Below are 21,548 nucleotides of genomic sequence, written 5' to 3'. Positions count from 1 at the left end.
CCTCCCAAAGTGCTGGGATTACAGGCGTGAGCCACCGCGCCCGGCCACTCCTTCAGCTTTAAGTGAGAATTTTATGGCAGTCTATAGAGCCAAAAGGGAAAGATCTAGCTTGTTGGTAATGATCAAATTTCTGGCACACTATACCATTGTAGCCGATGCTAGGAACACCTACTACAGTGCCTCTCCTATTATAGGCGCTCAACCCTTCAGAAAGGGTTTGATCGAATGCTTATTATGTAACGGCTATTGTTACTACTCTTGCGGGACTTACATTCTACTAGAATAAGACAACAAATATAAATAAATGACAGTATGTTAGAAAATAGTAGTAATACGAAAACAAATTTTTTGAGCAGGAAATGAACTATATGAATGGAATTTCCTTTTTTTTTTTTTTTTTTTTTTTTTGAGACGGAGTCTCGCTCTGTCGCCCAGGCTGGAGTGCAGTGGCGGGATCTCGGCTCACTGCAAGCTCCGCCTCCCGGGTTCACGCCATTCTCCTGCCTCAGCCTCCCAAGTAGCTGGGACTACAGGCGCCCGCCACTACGCCCGGCTAATTTTTTGTATTTTTAGTAGAGACGGGGTTTCACCGTTTTAGCCGGGATGGTCTCGATCTCCTGACCTCGTGATCCGCCCGCCTCGGCCTCCCAAAGTGCTGGGATTACAGGCGTGAGCCACCGCGCCCGGCCTGGAATTTCTAATAAGTTAGTTGTATAAAGTTAACTGCATTAAAGAACTATAGCCAGGCCATATGCAATGGCTCACGCCTGTAATCTGGTCGCTTTGGGAGGCCGAGGAAGGTGGATTGCTTGAGCCCAGAAGTTTGAGACCAGCTTGAAGTTTTTAACTGGAAAAAAATGTTAAGAGGGCAATTCTATGTAAAGAAATGGGAAAGAGGAATGGCAAGGAATGATAGTGTAAGAGGGGCTAGTGATACAAAAAAAGGTTGGGGTTGCTGGGGAAAAAGTTTCCATCACAGACTTTTAAATTATTTTTGTTAATGTTTGAATGATTACCTGTTATTGTAAAAATAATGGATTTTTAACAGGAAAAAGAGCTAAGAAAAATTTGTACTACGAAAGAAATAGATCATCATAAGTGGCTTTTTTTTTAAACTGTTAACTAATGTACTCACAAATTATAAACTCCCTGAGGACAAGATTTTTTATATACTAATTTTTATATACTATATACAGGTTGAGTATCCCTTATCTGAAATGCTCGGGAACAAAGTGTTTTTGATTTTGAATTTTTTTTTGAATTTTGGAATACAGTCATACATCACTTAATGATGGGAATACATTCTGAGAAATGCATCATTAGGTGACTTCATCACTGTGTGAACATGAGAGTGTACTTAAACAAACCTAGATGGTATAGCCTACTACATACCTAGGCTAGATGCTATAGCCTATTGCTCCTAGGAAACAAATCTGTACAGCATGTAATTGTGCTGAATACTGTAGGCAACTGGAACACATGGTAAGTGTATCTATGCATAGAAAATATACAGTAAAGAGAGTATAAAAGATAAAAAAAATCCTATACCTGTTCAGGGCACTTACCATGAATGGAGTTTGAAAGAATGCAAGTTGCTCTGGGTGAGTCAGTGAATAAGTGGTGAATGATGTGAAGGCCTAGGACACTACTATATATTACTGTAGACTTTATAAACACTGTACACTTAGGCTTCAATAATTTGTTAAAAATAATTTTCTTCAATAATTAACCTTAGCTTACTGTAACTTTTTATTTTATACTTTTAATTTTTTACACATCTCGTGTTTATGTTTTAAGCTAAGTGTTATTTATAAAAGTCAAAAAGTTAAAAAAATTAAAAGTATAAAGTAAAAAGTGTTTTGAGCAGGAAACTAGAACTATATGAATGGAATTTCTGAAAAGCTAGTTGCATAAAGTTAACTGCATTAAAGAACTATAGTCAGGCCAAGTGCAATAGCTCATGCCTGTAATCCTAGCACTCTGGGAGGCCAAGGCAGAAGGATCACTTGAACCCAGGTGTTTTAAACATAAACACTTTTTACTTTATACTTTTGATTTTTTGCGTATCTGTACAATGTGTTTATGTTTTAAGCTAAGTGTTATTTATAAGAGTCAAAAAGTATAAAAATAGTTTTATATCATTATTTTTTAAGTTTTTTCTTTTTAAAATTTATTTTAATTTTTACTATTTAAACTTTTTTGTTAAAAATGAAGACACAGATGCACACATTAGCCTAGGCCTCCCACAGGGTCAGGATCATTATTATCAGTCTTCCACCTTCACATCTTACAGCACTGGAAGGTCTTTAGGGGCAGTAACAGGCGTGAAGCTGTCATCTCCTATGGTTACAATGCCTTCTTCTTGTATACCTCCTGAAGGACCTGCCTGAGGCTGTCTTACAGTTAACTTTTTGAAGAATATAATTAGAAGGAGTACACTCTAAAATAATGATAAAAGGTATTATATAGTAAATACATAAAGCATGAACGGTTATCAAGTATTATGTACTATACATAATTATATGTGCTTTACTTTTATATAACTGGCAGCGCAGATTTGTTTACACTAGCATCACTGCAAACACAGGACTAATGTGTGCACCAAAATGTTACAATGAACAAAAGACGTCACCGGGCAATATGAATTTTTCAGCTTCATTATAATTTTATGGAACCACTGTAGTATGTGCAACCTGTCATTGACAAACATCGTTATGCAGTGCATGACTATTTGCACATACACAAATGAACTATCTTGGGGATGGGACCCAAGTCTAAACACCAAATTCACTTATGTTTCATATACATTTTATACATATACCCCAAAGGTAATTTTATATAATATTTTAAAGAATTTTGTGCATGAAACAATGTTTGCGCACACTGAACCATCAGAAAGCAAAGGTGTCACTATCTTGGCCACCCATGTGGACCAAAATACGACAATACGTGGTATCACATTGGCAATCAAAAAGGTTCAGATTTGGGGGTGTTTTGGATTTTTGGATTAGGGATGTTTGGATGCTCAACCTGTATGTAGTTTATTGTACAGTAAATATTAGGTTCAATTTTAGAACAGGTAAGGTAAAAGAACTGCATGGTTTGTATAAATTTGTGCTAAAAGTTACACTTTCAAATATTGTATCCCCAAGATTCTTATGTTTGCATAAGAAGAGTCTGTATTTTCTATTACAAGTTGTTTCATGCCAAATCTTATTTTGATTTTTCACATAGATAATACAATCTAACTCTACTGATCTTACACTATAAAGATAGGTCACTTTGAGATCAAAATTTCAGAATCTCTTATATCAGTTGGTGATAAGGCTGAGATTCCAAGATCTAAAATTAGTCTAGTACCTTAATTTGTAGCTTTGCTTCTTGCAGTCGACCTTTCCATGAGGCTACAAATTTAAGGCTATCCACAGAACGACCCACTGCCCTGTAAAGGTAAAGCATCAAAGTCACAAATCAATAATCCTTAGGAATTAAAATATGAAGAGTAACTGAAGATATAGTCCTATTTATTTAAAATTAAAATATTTACCATGTGTAAATAATAATACCATTAAACTATGCATAATATGTCAGAGTTCACACTAAATTTTCAAAGCTAACTGTCAGTCTCCTCTTTGATGCTGTAAGTTCCTTAAGGATAAGGCCTTTCTTTTTTTCATTTTTAAATCCTGTTTTGACCATGACCCTCAAATGCAGGCACACGATGGGTGTTCAATAAATGTTTATTAGCTGAACTGAAATTTGATGTTTATAATAGCCTGAAGCAATACAAATTGAAATACCCCTGAGAGTTACTAAACAACTAAATTTTGTTGAGGATATTTTTAGTAATGTCCCTTTTATTACATTCCAACTTGTTAAAAATTATATATGATATGATAATCTGAGTGTGGTAAGAAAAGGAGCTTGATCTTAATCATCAAGTCCTGTTCTCCACCAAGGAGCCTAGTCAGCACTGTCCAGCAGAATTTTCTGCGAAGATAAAAATATTTTCATGCAGTCCAAAATGGTAGCCACAAGCCATGTGGATATTGAGCACTTTAAATGTGGTTAGAGTTACTGAAAAACTGAATTTCAAATCTGATTTTTACTTTAATTCATTTACATAGGTCCATGTGACTTCTGGCTACCATAGTGGACAGCACAGGTATAGATAAATGATCAAAATTATAAAAGTTACATTTTATCTTTTTAAATTTGAATAAAACATATCATCATTAAAAGCAATGCTTTTTAAGCTAAAGGTTAACTGTATGATTTAAAGTAGAGAATAAGAAAATAACATAACTGTGTTTCAATAATAAATTTATTTCTTGACAATCAAGGGCAGTGTAATAGGAAGTCAATAAAGCAAAACTAATTACCGTCAGGGACAAATAGGTAAAGTATTTCATTTTAATTACCTTGCAGTTTCCTGGCGAAGAGCATTAAGAAATGTGTCTGGATGGAAAAGTTCTGATAGGTCAAGTGTTTCAGAGAGAAGAGCCTGTTTTTCAGCTTTATCTACCCAGTTCTAGAGGGGGGGAAATATGAACATATAAATACACACACACTTATAAGTCAATTAAAGACTTAAGTCATTTTCAATAAGAAAGTAATTCAGCTTCCAAATGCTCTGAAATGGTAGCTAGAAAATATATATATAACATTTCCATTTTACATTGTAAAGTCTGGCATTGCAATTTGGCATAATATCCATCCATCTTAAATACGATTCCTTGCACAATTGTTTGTTGGTAAAAATCTGCTCAAAATAAAAAGTCCAAAAGGTGAAAATTAACCTAATGTACAGCACCCCATTTTGGGCCAGCACTTGTAGTGTGCTGACGAAATACTGAGCATCCAGGCCTAACTAAAAAGTTCTCTTGGCAATGTGAACTGAATAAGGGTTCCAGTTCCAGATTTGATGGTGAATATGCCATCTTACAACAGTGGAGGGCAATGTCCAAGAAGAAATAATTTTGTGTTAAAAGGTGTTTTTAAATAATCAACTCATATTCCATTTGGAGAAATACATATCAATATAAAGTATATTTCATAAGCATTTTTTAAAAATTGCCATTTGGAACAGATAACAAAAACAACAGAAAGTCTGTGTAACACTTACTATATGCTTTCCATGTATTAACCAAATTTACACTTACCATGACCCTGCAAGTTAGTATTAGTATCCCCACTTTACAAATGAGGAAGTGGAGGCCCAGTGAGGTTAAGGGTCTTGCTCAAGGTCAAATAAGCTGCTGGAACCAGGAAGTTATTAAACTCAGGTAGTTTTAAGTGACTTGTTTCTCTGTAATATTTCCTGCAGGTGATAATATCCTTTAAGAGATAGACTGATTCAGAAATCATCAGTAAGCTATTAGTTCAGCTGGTGCACAGAGATGGTACTATAGTAATGTCAGCGATTAAAAACGTACAGAATCCTCATTTACTCAGTAATTCATTTTGCATGATTTATAAACAGCCTAGAAAAATATGTGTTCATTTAATTTATTACTGTCATAGAAAGGATGTGTTTCATGTACTGTAACACCCTATTATTTACCCAAGCATTTACATCTCTTAGCCAGGTCTAGAATAGAAGAAATTAAAATCTCTAAAGCTGTGTTTGCATTAACATCTTAATGCATTTGAATAGTACTCAGAAATGTTCCTATGTTCCTCTACCAATGAATAATATGTTTTGTATAAACAGAAAAGACTTTTAAAAGATCTTCTTAGCGAAGCATAATTATTTCTCTTGGCTATATCCTTTACAATGATAGCGCTTCATAAAGTATTTTCAATTAAATAATATTATACATAGCATATTTATTCCCTATCAAATAATTTTTATTAAATTATCTGCTAATTTCTTTCGCTAGCTAAACATAATCAACAAATTATACTTAACTGTATCTTTATTATAGTTAATATTTATTCCTGTTATTTTATAACAGTTATTTTAAAACAGTCATTTAATAAGTATTTCCAACTATACTACTATTTCATTAATGCTGTAAAATTAATTTTGAATTCAAATGTCCTGAAGAGTTGTTGCCAGTAATGAATGTGTGTATATATATATATATATATATATATATGTCTAAACTAACATGGCTGATAATCAGATTTTCACTTGTTTGAATAATATAATTTGTCAAGAAGGGAAAGCTCTTTTAGTAAAAATGTTATTAATCTATGGAAAAAATAACTTGTTAAGCTATTAAGCTTAAAGGTAGACTAATGCAAATGTGTTATTTAATGAGATAAATAAATAACAAAGATTATTTTAGCATGCATAATATCTTTGAACAGCAAACGTCACAGTGCAGAAACGATAAGCATATTTTTTTCTCTTAACCACATTTATACTGATAAGCATGAAAATAAAGAAGTAGCATTATCTTTAATAACCAGAAATATGCACACATAAATTGGGCTTTGAACAAAGTCGTAGGCATACTAACTGGCAAATATTTTTCATAAATGTTCTTTACTTCACTCTAAGTTATGGGCTATGCCCCTTTTAAAGGATTAGGTTTGAGATTAAACATAAAACCTCTAGTCCCTTCTATGACTATGAGACTATATACTCATAATTCTTCAAATGGCATATAACGGATATAACATGGAAGTAAGTGAATAAATAGCTAATAGAATTGAACAGCTAAATGGGCTAGGCAATTTCTTGAATATTATACACGCACAAACACTTAGAATCACAGGCAGTAAAACTTCTAAACTGGAATGAATGATAAAGATTATCGAGTTTACCTCCATTATTATAACATAAATGATTTTCAAAAGTGATATGATATTGCAATATTTTATTTTTAAAATGTTGATTATGTAGTAGGATTTACGAATTCAAATTACATTCATTTACTCAGAAGCATTTACTGAATGCAAACAGCTTATTTAGAGGAGATGAGACATACAAAAATAACTGTGAAAAATGATAGTAAGTGGAAAACTATGTAAGAAATAAATAGTATGTCATAAGAGTTCCACTCCTTTATGGACCAAAATATACAGAATTTTGAAGGTAAAAGGCTATCCTAGAATATTATCTAGGTAACTTATCAGTAAATTGTAATACAAGCAGGTATCATTTTTACATAGGCGAGAGTTCAGAACACATACATGTCTGTATCTCTTTCTAAAAAAAAAAAGTTTTCCATATCTTTTACATATTAATTAACACTAATATTTTTAGGGATATAGAAGTCAGAGGCTAATCCTATTGGCTATAAGCAATGAAATCAGTTAAACATAGAATTAAATCTATATAATTATTGTGACAAAATTAAATGTGCATGAAAACAACTTTATGAAAATCCCAAAGGGCCAAAAGCATGAGATCCAAAAAAAAAAATTAAGTGATTCAAATGTATCAGTGATACCCTATGGAGGAAAAATTCCTTTAAAGTTTTTGCAAACATTTATGAAATGCGTATCCACACACCAGGAAGAAACTGAGCCTCTGATCATAATCAAGTAAAAATGTTAGAATTTAACCTATTATAAGGTCACTGAGGAATAAAAACATTATTCAATCAATTATGCTGGGGAAAAACTATTGTTTTGGAAAAAAATTCAATCTTCAGTTCACATTCTAACCTAAAACTGTGCTACTTACCATTCAGAGTAAAATTTTATTCCATAATGGAGGAAAAAAATTCACATGAGGAAAAAAAGGGGTGAGATTATACATCTGATTACAGAATGGTGGACTTTCATTAAAAAGATAAAAGAAATATAGGCTATATTATACAAGATTTTATATCTATATATATACCATTAAAACTAAATTGGAAAAACACATTTACCACAAATATGAAAATGAGTTAATAACATTAACAAAGTGGCAAATTGTTTACATAATTATAGAAACAAGATATCATCTTCAAAAGTTATGTAAAACTGAGATAGGTTTTTAGCCCAACAGAATAGCAGGAGAAATGATAACGATTAAATGTTGCTAAGGGTTGCAACATGGACAAAATTTTGGTAGGAGTATATACTGGTACACTGTGATAAAACAATGTGATAAAATGTGTCAAGGCTTTAAAAATATACAAGCCTTGGCTGGGCACCGTGGCTCATGCCTGTAATCCCAGCACTTTGGGAAGCTGAGGTTTGGGGATCGTGAGGTCAAGAGATCGAGACCATCCTGGCCAACATGGCAAAACCCCGTCTCTACTAAAAATACAAAAATTAGCCAGGCGTGGTGGCACGCGCCTGTAGCCCCAGCTACTTGGGAGACTGAGGCAGGAGAATCGCTTGAACCTGGGAGGCGGAGGTTGCAGTGAGCCGAGATTGTGCCACTGCACTCCAGCCTGGTGATAGAGCAAGACTCCATCTCAAAAAAAAAAAAAAAAAAAAAAAAAAAGCCCTTTTACTCAGTGATTCATTTCTTGGAATGCAAATTAAGGGAATAATGAAGACATTATTATACATGGCTTGCTCATTCAAAATTATAACAAATTAGAAGCATAATTAGAAATTAGCTGATTAAATTATGGCATAGCACTACATTTCTCCTGCTATTCTGTTGGGCTAAAAACCTATCTCTATATATCACTACAAAATTACACAGCCAATAAAAACTGGTATTGGAAAAATATCTAATATAATTGGAAAATGTTTAGGAAATTAGCTGATTAAATTATGGCATATCACTACAAAATTACACAGCCAATAACTGGTATTGGAAACATATTTAATATCATTGGAAACTGTTTAGGACCTAACGTATTTATCAGAATGCAAAAATGTATACACAGTATGAACCTAATTATATAAAAACATTATTTAAATACATAGAAAAATATGGGGAAAATATCAAAATATTCCAGTGGGTCTGTCTAGCCTATAGCCTATTAATGAATATCTTCATTCACATATAATTGCAATTCTATAATGTAAAAGACAATGTTATTTATAAACTGATGCCATTTTACTTTGTTTTAATGCACTGTGTTCCTTGGCAAAAGTGTTTAATGCAAATAAGTAATTTAAGCGATCATTCTTCTCAATGTGCCATGTCCACATTTTAATGTATTGTGTTTTAATTTTTATTCAATTAAATTAATTTCCAACTTTATTTTTGATATCTTCTTTGACCCATGGGTTATTTACAAGTATTTATTTTATTTCCAAATATTTTAGGATTTTCAATAAATCTTTGTTACCGGTTTCTAACTTAATTCCATTGTGGTGAGAAAGCATACTTTGTGTGGTTTGAATTCTGTTAGATTTATTTAGACTAGCTGTATGGCACAGAATGTGACCTACCACTGTAAACACCCTGTGCGCACTTGAATGCGCATTCTGCTTTTGTTAATGTTCTATAAATATTAATCTGGCTAATAGTGTTACTCAAGTCTTTTATATCTTTACTGATCTGCTATCTATTTATCCTTTCAGTTACTGAGAGGCGTATGTTGAAATCTCCAACTTTAATTCTGGATTTATCTATTTCTCTTTGCAGTTCTCAGTGTTTTGCTTCATTTATTTTCAAACTCTGTTATTAGGTGTGTAAAAGTTTGGTTTTGTTATGTTCTTTTGATGACTTGATCTCTGTATCATTATAAAATAATCTTTGTTATCTCTGGTTAGTAACTTTGCTGGGACACCTATTTTGCTCAATATTTAATATAGCTACACCAGCTTTCTTTTGGCTAGTGTTAGCATGATACATCTTTTTCTATCATTTTCCTTTTAACTTATTTGTGTATTTATATTTAAAGTGCAATGCCATGATGCCTTATGGCCATCATAGTTGGGTCTTGTTTTATCCAATCTGACAAGTTTTGCCTTTTAATTGGTGACTTTAAAATACCTATCAATTTGTAAAAATGCTACCTAATTATATGTATTAGGTAGAAGAAAATTAGCTTATAAATTGCCATATTTTGTAGGTAAACATTTCAGTGTTTTAGGCTGAGCAAAATGGAATTCAATGAGTAAAATTATGGCTCTAACATGCTTTCAGTAAGATCATTATTTTTTAATTAAACAATATTCTAATTAAGAATAATAATGAAAATGAATAATTTCTAAACTTAATAATTACCACATGTATAGAGAAGATTTGATTAATATAAAGTTCAATGTGTGACTTGGTATGAATAACACTCTTGGCTTATTGATTACGTGGTTGAGTGTAAGACAATTCTTGACCTCATTCTTTAAACAATGGATCAATTTGAAAACTAGATGGCATTGCTGAGCTTCCATGAATAGTTAAATACAATTAATACATGTGTTAAAAATAATTTGAGGAAGATATTTTGAAGATCCAAAGGCAAGCACAAATATAAATCCTAACTGTTGGCCTTCCTTCCTGCATACAGTCTAGTCTTCAAAAGTTGCCCAGAGTTATCCCATCTCACTCACAGAAGTCAGTGTCCTTTTGATAGCAGACAACGCCTGCATTGTCTGTTCCTGCCTGAATTCTAAACCCATTGCCCCTCACTACCTAACTTCTGACTTCTCTGGACACCTTTTTCTGTCTTGTTTCCTTCAGGCACACTTGCCGCCCTTTCTCAAAAAACCCTTTTTGCCTCAGGCCATGGCACTTGCTGTTCCCTCTGCCTGAAACTCTCTTCTACCAGACATTTACCTGTATAGGCTATTCCCTTACCTCCTTTAGGTCTCTGTTCACATGCCACCATATCAGAAACGTCTTTCCTATTTCTACCAGTTTTAACACAACAAATTTTTAAATATTTTACCTTTATATCTACAGCTCTACATGCTACTAGTAGGAATTAAGAAACAAAGGAAAAAAAAGAATCTTTGATCAATTTAAATCAATACCTATAGTTTTATACCTGGAATTTGGCTAACATTTTCCTAAAGTAATGACTTCATTGTGTTGCTTTTCTGAGAGTTTTTCAAAGTAAAACTTCTAAGAAACTTAAATTTTCATGTCCCCATGTTCATGTTTTTAAGTAACCTTAACCAAGAAACAGGTAAGTACTGGCTTTGAGAAGGGCTTTAACATGATAAACTTATAAAGAAATTCTGATGTTTCTGGCATTTCTTATCTCCAGATTTAAAGATATTGCTGAAAGCTGACTATAAGAAATCTCTCTCTGCCCTACCCTCTTCTACTGTGGATTGAGTTCCCTTGTAGGCTGGATAACACTTCTTAACTATTTGCATTTCCCCTCCTAAGGCACAGAAATAGTTTGACTTAGGACTTTGTTTTTATGGTATTTTAACCTTTACTTATTCTAAATTTCCCTGAAGATTCTAACCATTTTGTAGAATATAAATGTCAGAACTAGCAGATCTGGAGCCACAGAGAAATGGGATAAGATTTTCCTGTGGAAGAGGTATCTTTTTAGAAACAGTTTTAAGTTAAATAGGAAATCTCTCCACACACTAATTTATACACAGAACATGATGTTGTTAAACAGTATTGTGGAAGAACATACACACACATGATCACCCACATTCATTCCAGTAAAAAGCACTGTAGATAATGTAGTAAGCTCCTCCCCAACCTCCCCCGATTTGCTTACTATTATCCTTAAACGTAATATCCTAATTTTTCTACCGAAAGTTATTATTTTCTTCCCCCTTTAATCCTTGGCATAGTAAGCATAGAACCTGCATCCAATAAGGTGGAAAAAATTTCTGAAGAATTTTCAAATGCTAAAAGTGACCTGCCACTTGTTAATCATCCTTTATAATTATGTCTTAGGTATCTTAAAAGACTAAGCCTTTTTCTTTCAATATTTATCAGAGAGTTGCAAATAACATAAAAAAAATCCTAGTATTTTGGGTCCTACCTTGTTGGTTATTATTTGGATGTCAACAATATCTGGTAAAAATATTGGACAAAACATTAAAAAACCCCAAAACTCAAATCTTGAATTAACAAAACAGAGAAGAAACAAAACAACTTTACCCGAATTAATGAGATACCCACAAGAAACAAAACATTAGTAGTAAACCCAAGTGCTTATAAAATTTAAAGCATGTTACACATTTCCAATGCCTTAAAAAACTTAGTTATAATAAACCTCTCAAATAGAACAAAGTTTAGCCATGCTGTCTAGTGATGGATGCAGATTCTGGGACAAAGTAACTTCTATGAATTTGATGAATGTGGTAATGGCATGATGGATACTTGGAAGGCTTGCTTCTTCCAAGTCTGTAAATTGAAGTCAATGACTCTAACTTTTAAAATCGTAACCACTTTTTGACTGGGTTATGTTAATGGTTTCCCACATTGTGTAGCGTACTGAAAAGTCTCAAGCTGTACAAAGGATTTGAGGAAGATTTTAGGCCCCACAGCTCTATTTCCACTGGGTTGATTTTTTACCTTGTTTAACTTTATTAAGTTAATAGACATAGTCTTGTCTAGAAAGAGAATATACCCTACCTTACTGTTAAAAAAGGAAATCTTACTCTTCCCCATCCTTAATATAGCCACCTATTAGAGTACTGGAGTTTCCATCCATAGATTTGGTATTTTTTAAATTAAACTTATAAACCTGGGTTTCTAGGCTCAATATTTGATATAAAAAAGTACCATTTTTCAGTAGAACTTTGTGATATATTTTTATCACCTTGTGGAGGAAATCTCAGGTAATACAATTTCATTCTTTGTTTTTTATTTACCATTTCCCTGACTTTTCTAAATAGAGAAATGAGTTGAGTTACATGGGCTAAAAACCCTGATGGTGTTCATGCAGAACCTGAACCACTATGGGAAACAAGATTATTAAAAATTACTTTTTGGCACAGTATTTAATTTTTAGTGTGGCAAAACAGGAATTTATAATGTCCACCTACTTATAGGTCTCCTCTTAATTATTAATAATAATTTATAACTATAACTTATTTTGTGAATAGTTCAAGCTCCTATTTAAGGCCTATCTTTCCACATGTGCATTGGGCCCTATTTCCTCTTGCCTTTTTAAGAACTTTACTCCTAAAATCATTTCCTTTTTCTTGTACCATCAATTTAAAAATTTATAGTGAACACAGATATGGTCAAAAATCCCCTATATTAAAAAACAAAACCAAACCAAAAAAATTCCTTTGGCTCTTCTCCCTGTCAGTCTCACTCTATTCATCTGTGTTACTTCATAACACAACTCCCTGAAAAAACTGTCTATATTTGCTGTCTCAACTTCACCCCTTATTCTTTTTTAAACTCATATGACCAGGCTTTCATTCTTTAGAACTTCACAAAACATCTCCTCAAGATCACCAACGTCTTCCATGTTGCCAAACATGATTTTTCTCTAACCTCACTTACAGCATTTGACATAGTTGATAATTCTGACCTTTAAGAACACTTTATTCTCTTGGCTTCTTGATCACTACAGCCTCCCAGGCTTTCTTCTATATACCTAACTACTATTTCTTGGTTTTAATGATGGACAACTTTTCCTTTTCTAAACATCTCAATATTGAAGTGCACCAGTGCCAGATACTTGGCCATTCCTATGGTTTTAAACACTATGTTGATATGCTGATAATTGCTAATTTTCTATTTCCAATTCCAGTAGCTTTCTCATCAATTACTTCTCTGACATTTCCACCAAGATGTCTAAAAGACATCTAAACTTATCATGTTCAAATTAGAACTTTTAATTTGCAAGACCACTCCCCTCCTCCCTAAACAACAACAACAACAACAACAACAACAACAAAACTCTGCTCTATTACCATATTGTCAGTATCCTTCAACTCACTAAACCACTTAACCAACTGCTTAGGACAAAACTTTGAAATCAAGGGCCGCGCACGGTGGCTCACACCTGTAATTCCAGCAGTTTGGAAGGCCGAGGCGGGCGGATCACGAGGTCAGGAGATTGAGACCATCCTGGCTAACATGGTGAAACCCCGTCTCTACTAAAAATACAAAAAAATTAGCCGGGCATGATGGTGTGCGCCTGTAGTCCCAGCTGCTAGGGAGGCTGAGGCAGGAGAATGGCGTGAACCCAGGAGGCAGAGCTTGCAATGAGCTGAGATCGAGCCACTGCACCCCAGCCTGGGCAACAGAGCGAGACTCCGTCTCAAAAAACAACAACAACAAAACTTTGAAATCACGTTTGATATCTCTCTCCCATGCCCCATAGCCAAATCCACAAGTTTAATATGAAAATATGACCACTTCTTTAAGAAGCCTCCACCTCCACAGCCACCACCCTAGTCCATAATACACAGCTACCACCCTAGTCCATCATAACCTCACTTGGATTACTGCAATAACCTCTTTTTTTCCGAAGCAAGTCAGTTGTTTACTCACATTAATATTCAAATCTCTACATAAGTAAAAAGAGATTAAAAAGAATATATAAAGATAATCCCAGAATAAAATCATACTTTAAGATGGGCATAGAAAGAAGCCCCAAATGTCCATAGATAATAGCAAATATAGGTCTATACAAAGATAGTTTCATATACTAAATGCTGAAACATCTGCAGAATGAAAAATAAAGTCTTTCAAATATTTATGTGACTATCCATAATCTTGAAGATAATTTCCTCAACTAGTTCGTTTTTATGAAATCATTACATTCCATCAAGATATTTGAAAGCAGAAAGTGAATTTTACAGGCATTATTTATTTGAATGTACAAAATGTATTTATTCATTCGGTATTTGAGAAGAGATGCAACTACTTGTATGCTTTTTGAAAGCAATAACCTCTTAACTGGTCAGGCTGCTCCTATTTTTCCTCCCTATAGCTTATTCATATACCAGCGGAATCACCTTTTAATCTTTTGCTCTCAATCTTCTACTGACCTCCCATGTACTCAGACTAAATTTAAATTTCTTACCAAGCCTACATGGACTCATACATAATGGTCCTTGGCCACCCATTCAACCTTATTTCCAGTAAAACTTTCATTCCTTGAACAAGCAAAGCACATTCCTGTCTCAGAGATTCTGTACTTACTGATCTCTCTACCTGGATTTGTTTTTCCCTCAGATACATTTTAAGGTTTGCTCTCTTACTTTATTCAAGTCTCTGTTTAAATATCACCTCCAAAGACAGGCTTTCCCTGACCATACATACTAAAGTGTTACCTTCCCCAACCCACTTGTCTCTAGCCCCCTTAATCTACATCATTTTGCTTTACAGCATCCTTATATGTATTAGAAATAAAGTTTAATTCATTTTCAATATTTGGCCAGGATCTGTTATTTGCCTTTTACCTTCTGGTAGGCTTAACAAACAGATGCTTACTTTAACACTGTTCTGACATCCCGGAAATATATAATATTAATATTTGTATAAGGACAGATGTTACTACCTTATTTAATAAGTGTAACAATGTTAGTACTGTCAACAAGGCATGACATTTAGATTTATTTAAAAATATTCACTATATGCTACTTGAATGAAAACCCCTTATGTGCTCTATAGGTTGAAATTATCTTAGTCTGAATCATTACTATGTGTTTAGTATAGCAAGAGAAGAATTTAAAGAATAATTATTATAAAAATTGTTATTTTTATGTTAAAGATTTCAGAACTTATGGTTCAAGAAATAGATTGATAATTAATATAAATATTAGATTATAATAGCAAGATAAATATTAAAAAGCTGGAAACATTTTAGTCAAGAAATATTAATAAAAATTTAACTAATACAAAAATATATGTATCAAGACAGTCCTGAAATCCAGATCTTTGAGGAATTATTCAATATACTGACATTTTCAAAATTAAATAACATGTAACAAAATTTAATCGTAAGTTACTTTGTTCCATGAGTCTTTTAAGAGGAAGAGTTATGTGGAAATATTTCCCATTTTGTGAGGACCAAATAATAATGGAATAACAACTTTGCTATCTCAAAATTTCTCAAGGAGAAAAAGTCAAATATTTTAAAAATATCCAATATAAATCATCTTCAATCCAGACATAAAAATAAAAGACAAAGGAGAGAAAAAAATAAAAACTAGGTACACATAATATTTTCTCACTTATCAAATTTCAGAACTGCAGACATCAAAAATAATATTTAGGAACAATTTCCTGTTGAGGTTTTGAATCTATGGAGGTTAAAAAAAAAACTTGTCAAAATCACTGACATAGATTACCAATAATTTTCAGGAGATGAAGTAAAAGGAGTTCTGAGGCTTGCTAAGCTATGAGTCTTATGTTCAAGATTCTTTCTAGAATATATATTACTAAAAAATATTTTCTTAAATTATTTTTATTGTATACAACAGTTAGTATTATTGGTAGTATTAAGCCAAACACTCAATAGTCTACTTCAATATTATGTATAACAGACAAATAGATAAATAATATAATATACAGCCCAAAGTCCTTTTAAAGTGTGATAACATATAAATTAACAATAAAACCAATCACTACTTTCCTTGCTTGTGAAGAGATTTCCAGTTGCAAATAGCTAACAACAAAGTAAAGCTGATAGATAATAGAGAATGGAAAATCAGCAAATAAAGCATAATGCAATTATTGACAGTGGAACAAATGTGGTGAAGGCTATGATTGATTTAGGAATCACAAGTACACAATGTTTTGTTCACAACCTTCCATTGTATCTTCAGAAATAATAAAAAATTTTGATAGCTGGGATTTATTGACAACAGCAGAAAAACTGTCAATCATTTCTTCTTCTTTACCAAAAATAAAAGTATATGGCATACAAGACATTTAGCAACTCTTTTGTTATATATTAATAACGTATGTTCAAACAAGATTAAGAGAAGCCTTTAAATGGCAAAAAAAAAAAAAGGGCTCATAAATCAAGGGAAGCATTGAAATGATATTTTGCAAGTAAGGGTACCAGCATAGGAGATATTACTAACAATCACTGGTTACATGCAGGGAAAAATTGTTTGCTGGACCTTGCTGATTCTTCAAGAAACCAAATTTGTCATAAGAGTTTATTCTCTGCATGTTTTCTGCTGTAAAGATACTCTTATTCTACTCCAGGAAGCTGCTAAAATTGGTATGCATGTGATGAAAGGTGCAATGCAGATAGAAATTCGGGAAAGATTTTGTTATCTTCAAAGCCAATTATGTTGCTATACTGTCAAATTTCTAGAACCAAGATTTATCTTCTGCAAGCAGTACAAATAGCATGTTTTGTAAGATTGCTTCTGTAAAACTGCATATCATTGTAGACCATAGAGTACTGTTTAGTATTCCAAATGTGCAAGATAGTTGGCCATACGAAGGATTTATCAGCTGTTACTGCTGAGAAATTACTGTCCCTGTGCAAAATTTGACTCAACATTTTGTAATACTATTGCTATAGTAAAAGCTTTATTTTTCTGAATAAAATTTCAGATATATACCCTAAGTTCATACTGTGATGGTGATAACCCAACTTAAAGCTTGGCCATATATTAATCTTTAATTTCAAGATTTTGATGTAATTCTAATATTAACATATTTATTTGTTTGCTATCTATCTCCTTCACTAAAATGCAGTAATTCCTGTTCACAGGAATTTCATGTTTTCTCACTACAGTGTATTTCTACGACTTAAGAACAGTGGCTGGCATATAATAGAAGCTCAATAAATATTCACCGAATGAATAAACTGATAAATATATACTTATTCATATATATGAATAAAAAACATCCACAGGTTTCTCTTCTGGGTATAATATACAAAAATGGGGATGCTGGAGGTTTTAAAGCCACATATAGACTTTTTCAACTTTGTTTATTTATATAAGTCTTCTATGAATAATTTTACTGAGTACTTGCTGTGTGTGAAACACCGTACCAAGGACTAGGAAAGTTACTAAGATGAGTTAGGAAAATAATACACTCTTCCAGAAATGCAGAATATGGTAGCAGAACCTTCCAAAATACAGTAAGACACCTCAAAAAATGAGTGAAAACCTAACAATGTAATTATAATAAATTGCTTTTTACATTTGAGATCTTAAGAAAAATAAAACACTTCAAATGATAGATTGTGGAAATATAAAGTTAAACCATAATATTTATGGGTAGATTTAGATAGAAGCCAAAAATCTCAAAATAGATAATGAAATACTACAGAATATATCTCAGGAAGCTAAATCTTGATGATTGGAAAAAAGAGATTTATGCCAATTTGCTTGAGAGTAAATAACCTTATGATTGGAGTCATTTATTTATTCAACAAATATTTACTGAAAAGCCTATTTGTACAAGTTACTGTCTACATGCTTGGATGGGGCAGTAAACAGACAAAAATCTCTGCCCTTATGAAGCTTTCTTTTTAGTGGCAGAATACATAGAAACTTTTAAAAATAAATAGATTATAATATACAGAGTATTAGACTAAGATATAGGCCACAGAGAAAAATAAAGATGGAAAAGAGAGTAAGAAGTATTGGAGGGGGGAGTGCGGGGGTTACATTCGAAACAGGATGGTCAGGGAAGGCCTCACTGAAAAAGTGACATTTGAGCAAAGACCTGAAGGAGGTAAGGAAGCTTCCTTGCACATATCCCGGGGAGAGCATTCCAAGGAGAGGAAGCAGCAAGGGTAAAGGCCATGAGAGGGAGCGAGCTGGGTTTGTTCACTGAAAAGCAAGACCAGTATGGCTAGAACAGAGTAAATGAGGTAGAAAACTGGGAACGAAAAGCAGAGAGATAATGGGGCTTCACCTTAAAGAAACTTGTAGGATGTGTAAGGATTTTGATACTCAAGATGACTAGTCATGGGGATATTTCCAAGAGAAGAGTGATGTAATCTGAGCTGTGCTTTAACACCAGAACATTTGAGATTGTGTGGTTGAGAACCAATAAGAATGGGAACAAGGGTGGAAGCAGGACTCTAGTTAGATAGTGGCTGCATTCACAATGACTTCAATCGAGGTAGTGGTAGTACGGATAGTAAAAGGTACCTCAATGTATTTTGAATGCAGAGAAAATATGACTTTCTGGTAGACTGGATATAAAGTGTGAGAGGAGAGAAGTAAACAATGATTCCAAAAATTTTAGACTGAACTACCCGCTGGGGAACAGGGGATAACACTAAGTGGTTCTAGATTGTAGTACTTCTGCTATTTGCTCAAATACTTCCTTTAATGATTTGTTGTTATTGCTTATTTAGTTGTCTATTTTCCTGATAAGCTTTAATGATAGTCTATATGTCATGCTAAGTGGTATTTACTAATAACAATAATTAATGCTATTTATTGCTTAGATCTCCCCAAACTTCAAGGTGCTTAATAGTTGATATAAACAACAAAATTCTGTCATAAGAATGAAGGGTGGCAGGATTTGGTAGTAGAGCAACGTACCAGCCACTGGCTTGAGTTCAGCAAAAAAACTGAGTGGAGTTCAAGTCGTCACTGTGGATCTTAAAACTAAAGACATGAAACTGAAGCAGAAGTTTAAAATGAACTGTAAGTATTAATGGCAAACCTTAATGCTAATTTAACACACAGCACTCCAAGTTTGCTTTCCAATGGAAGCATAATGGGGGAGATATTTAGGAGTCCATTAAACATTTCTTAGAATATTGGGTCTATTTAGCATAACCAAGTATAACTAGCTGATGGTGATAAAGATCTCTCTCTATATCCTGGCTTGGATATAGAAATCAACACATGAGCAAGGCTGGAATAAAAATTACAGGTGTACGGTCAAGGGATCCAACTATGAGTAGTTGAGAAAACTAGGATAAAGGAACCAAACCAAAGCTGACAATGTAAGATTTACAAACAGGGTAGAGAACACGCTAGAATTTAGAATGATCATCACAGAAGAATCAGAATATACTGCTGTAAGGGATACGCTACAAGCCAAAGGGAAAACACAGAGTGGAAATCAGGAACACAAGAAACTCTTTGAAGATGTTATTTCTGAAGAAAAGACAGAAAAATTTGAAGCCAGGGAAATAATTCTAAGTTCCCCAAAGAGAGTAATCTGTCCAGTCCATTCATTTGTTAATTCCTTTGTTCATTCATTCATTCAGCAGACAGTATATAGGTATTGGAAATATAGTGGAATTTTTTTTTTAAGATCTTTGCTCTAAAGGATCTTACAGAAACCAGAGAGTGAATGCAAGGCTGCCTGCAAGACTCTCTGTGGCTCAGGTTCCTTGGATACCTAGGGGATCTATAGCTCTAAATTAAGAGTATTCAGAGGAGTCTTAAACCTTTTGCCACAAAGTAGACTAAGACTCTCTCCATACTGCAGCTAAAACAGTCCCTTTAAAACATAATCTGACTTTCCTTCTTAAAATGCTGCAATGGTTACCTTTTGTCCTTAGGATAAAATATAATTCCTTAATACATTATCATGATTTGGCCCCTCTTGCCCTCCAGCCTGAACACCCCTCCTTGCAATCTATGCTTTGCTTTTAGTTACTTGAAAACCACAATGCTTACTTTTTATTAATTTTTTTTACAAAATTTCAATAACTTTGGTATAACACAATACTTACTCTTGATATCAGACTCTGGTCTGCCTTCTGTCTGATACATTCTTTCGTCTCATCCTCATCTGGTTTATTCCTACTAAGTTCCCAGCTTAGGCAGCACTTCTCTGACCCCTTCTAGGTTAAATAGTGCTATTTGCTTCCATAATACTGTACTTCCTTTATCACTCTTCTCTTACTGTTGTTTATTCAGTTCTATCTTTCTGATAAGTTGTAAGGATAGTTCCTGGAGAACAAGATGTATGTCTATTTTGTTTACCACTCTATATTCAGCAACCTCACACAGTGTTTGGCACCAGGAAAGTATTAATCACATTTGCGGAATTATCTTTTTTTTAAGAGGCGAGGTCTCATTGTTGCCCAGGCTGGACTTGAACTCTTGGGCTCAAGCGATCCTCTTGCCTTAGTCTCCTGAGTCACTGGAACTATAGACACATGCCACTGTGCCCAGCTTACATTTATAGAACTTTTATTGATAAAATGATAAATGAATGAAGATAAGATCTGTGAGGCAGTTATTGTATCTACTTACTAATCCTGATATCTCCAGTACTTCACACAGGGTCTAGAATAAAGTAGCTGCTTATTATATTTTTGACTGAATGAATGACTGAATAAATGAATGCTACCTTTGACCCAAGTCAGTCTTACCTTATTTGCACAGAACCCCTGTAATAAACTGGCATGATATATGACACCCTCAATAGTTTGTTCTCTTTTCCCATAAACTATGCCTCAAAATGCAAGACCCTAAAATCTTAAACTATAGCTGGATCTGGGCTCAACCTGCTGTATACCTGTTTGGATTGAGTCTGATCATTATGCTTTCTTAAGAAACCAAAAGGTGCCATTTTCACAGATCCTTGCAAATAGTGCTTCTAATTTTCCCTGCCCACCCAGTTTCCCATCCTTTGTTTTCCAAATAGGTAGTTACATTGCTCTCCAAGTATCACAAGCTGCTCTGGATATGTACTTGTGAAACAGAGAAGGCACAGATGAAAACAAGGGATCTATCGGGCCCTTGAATAGATGAAAAGCAAATCCCAAATATTAAAGGTTACCTCAGGGAGATGGATATCTATATATATTTATAATTTAAAAAAATATTAAGCCAGGAAAATAAAACAATGTAAAAAGTATCCCCAA

At 33.6% G+C, this 21,548-nt stretch overlaps 1 protein-coding gene across 5 annotated transcripts in view; it reads right to left on the bottom strand.

Moving 5' to 3' along the window:
- Positions 1-21,548, bottom strand: part of DYNC2H1 (dynein cytoplasmic 2 heavy chain 1) — a 370,438-nt gene that overhangs the window by 20,147 nt on the left and 328,743 nt on the right. For all 5 annotated transcript variants that reach the window (NM_001080463.2, NM_001377.3, XM_017018291.2 and 2 more), the window contains 2 exons: positions 4,422-4,531; positions 3,361-3,442 (listed from right to left, as the gene is read on the bottom strand). In NM_001080463.2, coding sequence (NP_001073932.1) covers positions 3,361-3,442; positions 4,422-4,531 — 192 coding nt within the window. The remainder of the gene's footprint in view (positions 1-3,360; positions 3,443-4,421; positions 4,532-21,548) is intronic.

The sequence above is a fragment of the Homo sapiens genome, chromosome 11 (assembly GCF_000001405.40).
Source record: "Homo sapiens chromosome 11, GRCh38.p14 Primary Assembly".
Lineage (NCBI taxonomy): Eukaryota > Metazoa > Chordata > Mammalia > Primates > Hominidae > Homo > Homo sapiens.
This window is presented reverse-complemented; position numbering and strand designations above follow the sequence as displayed.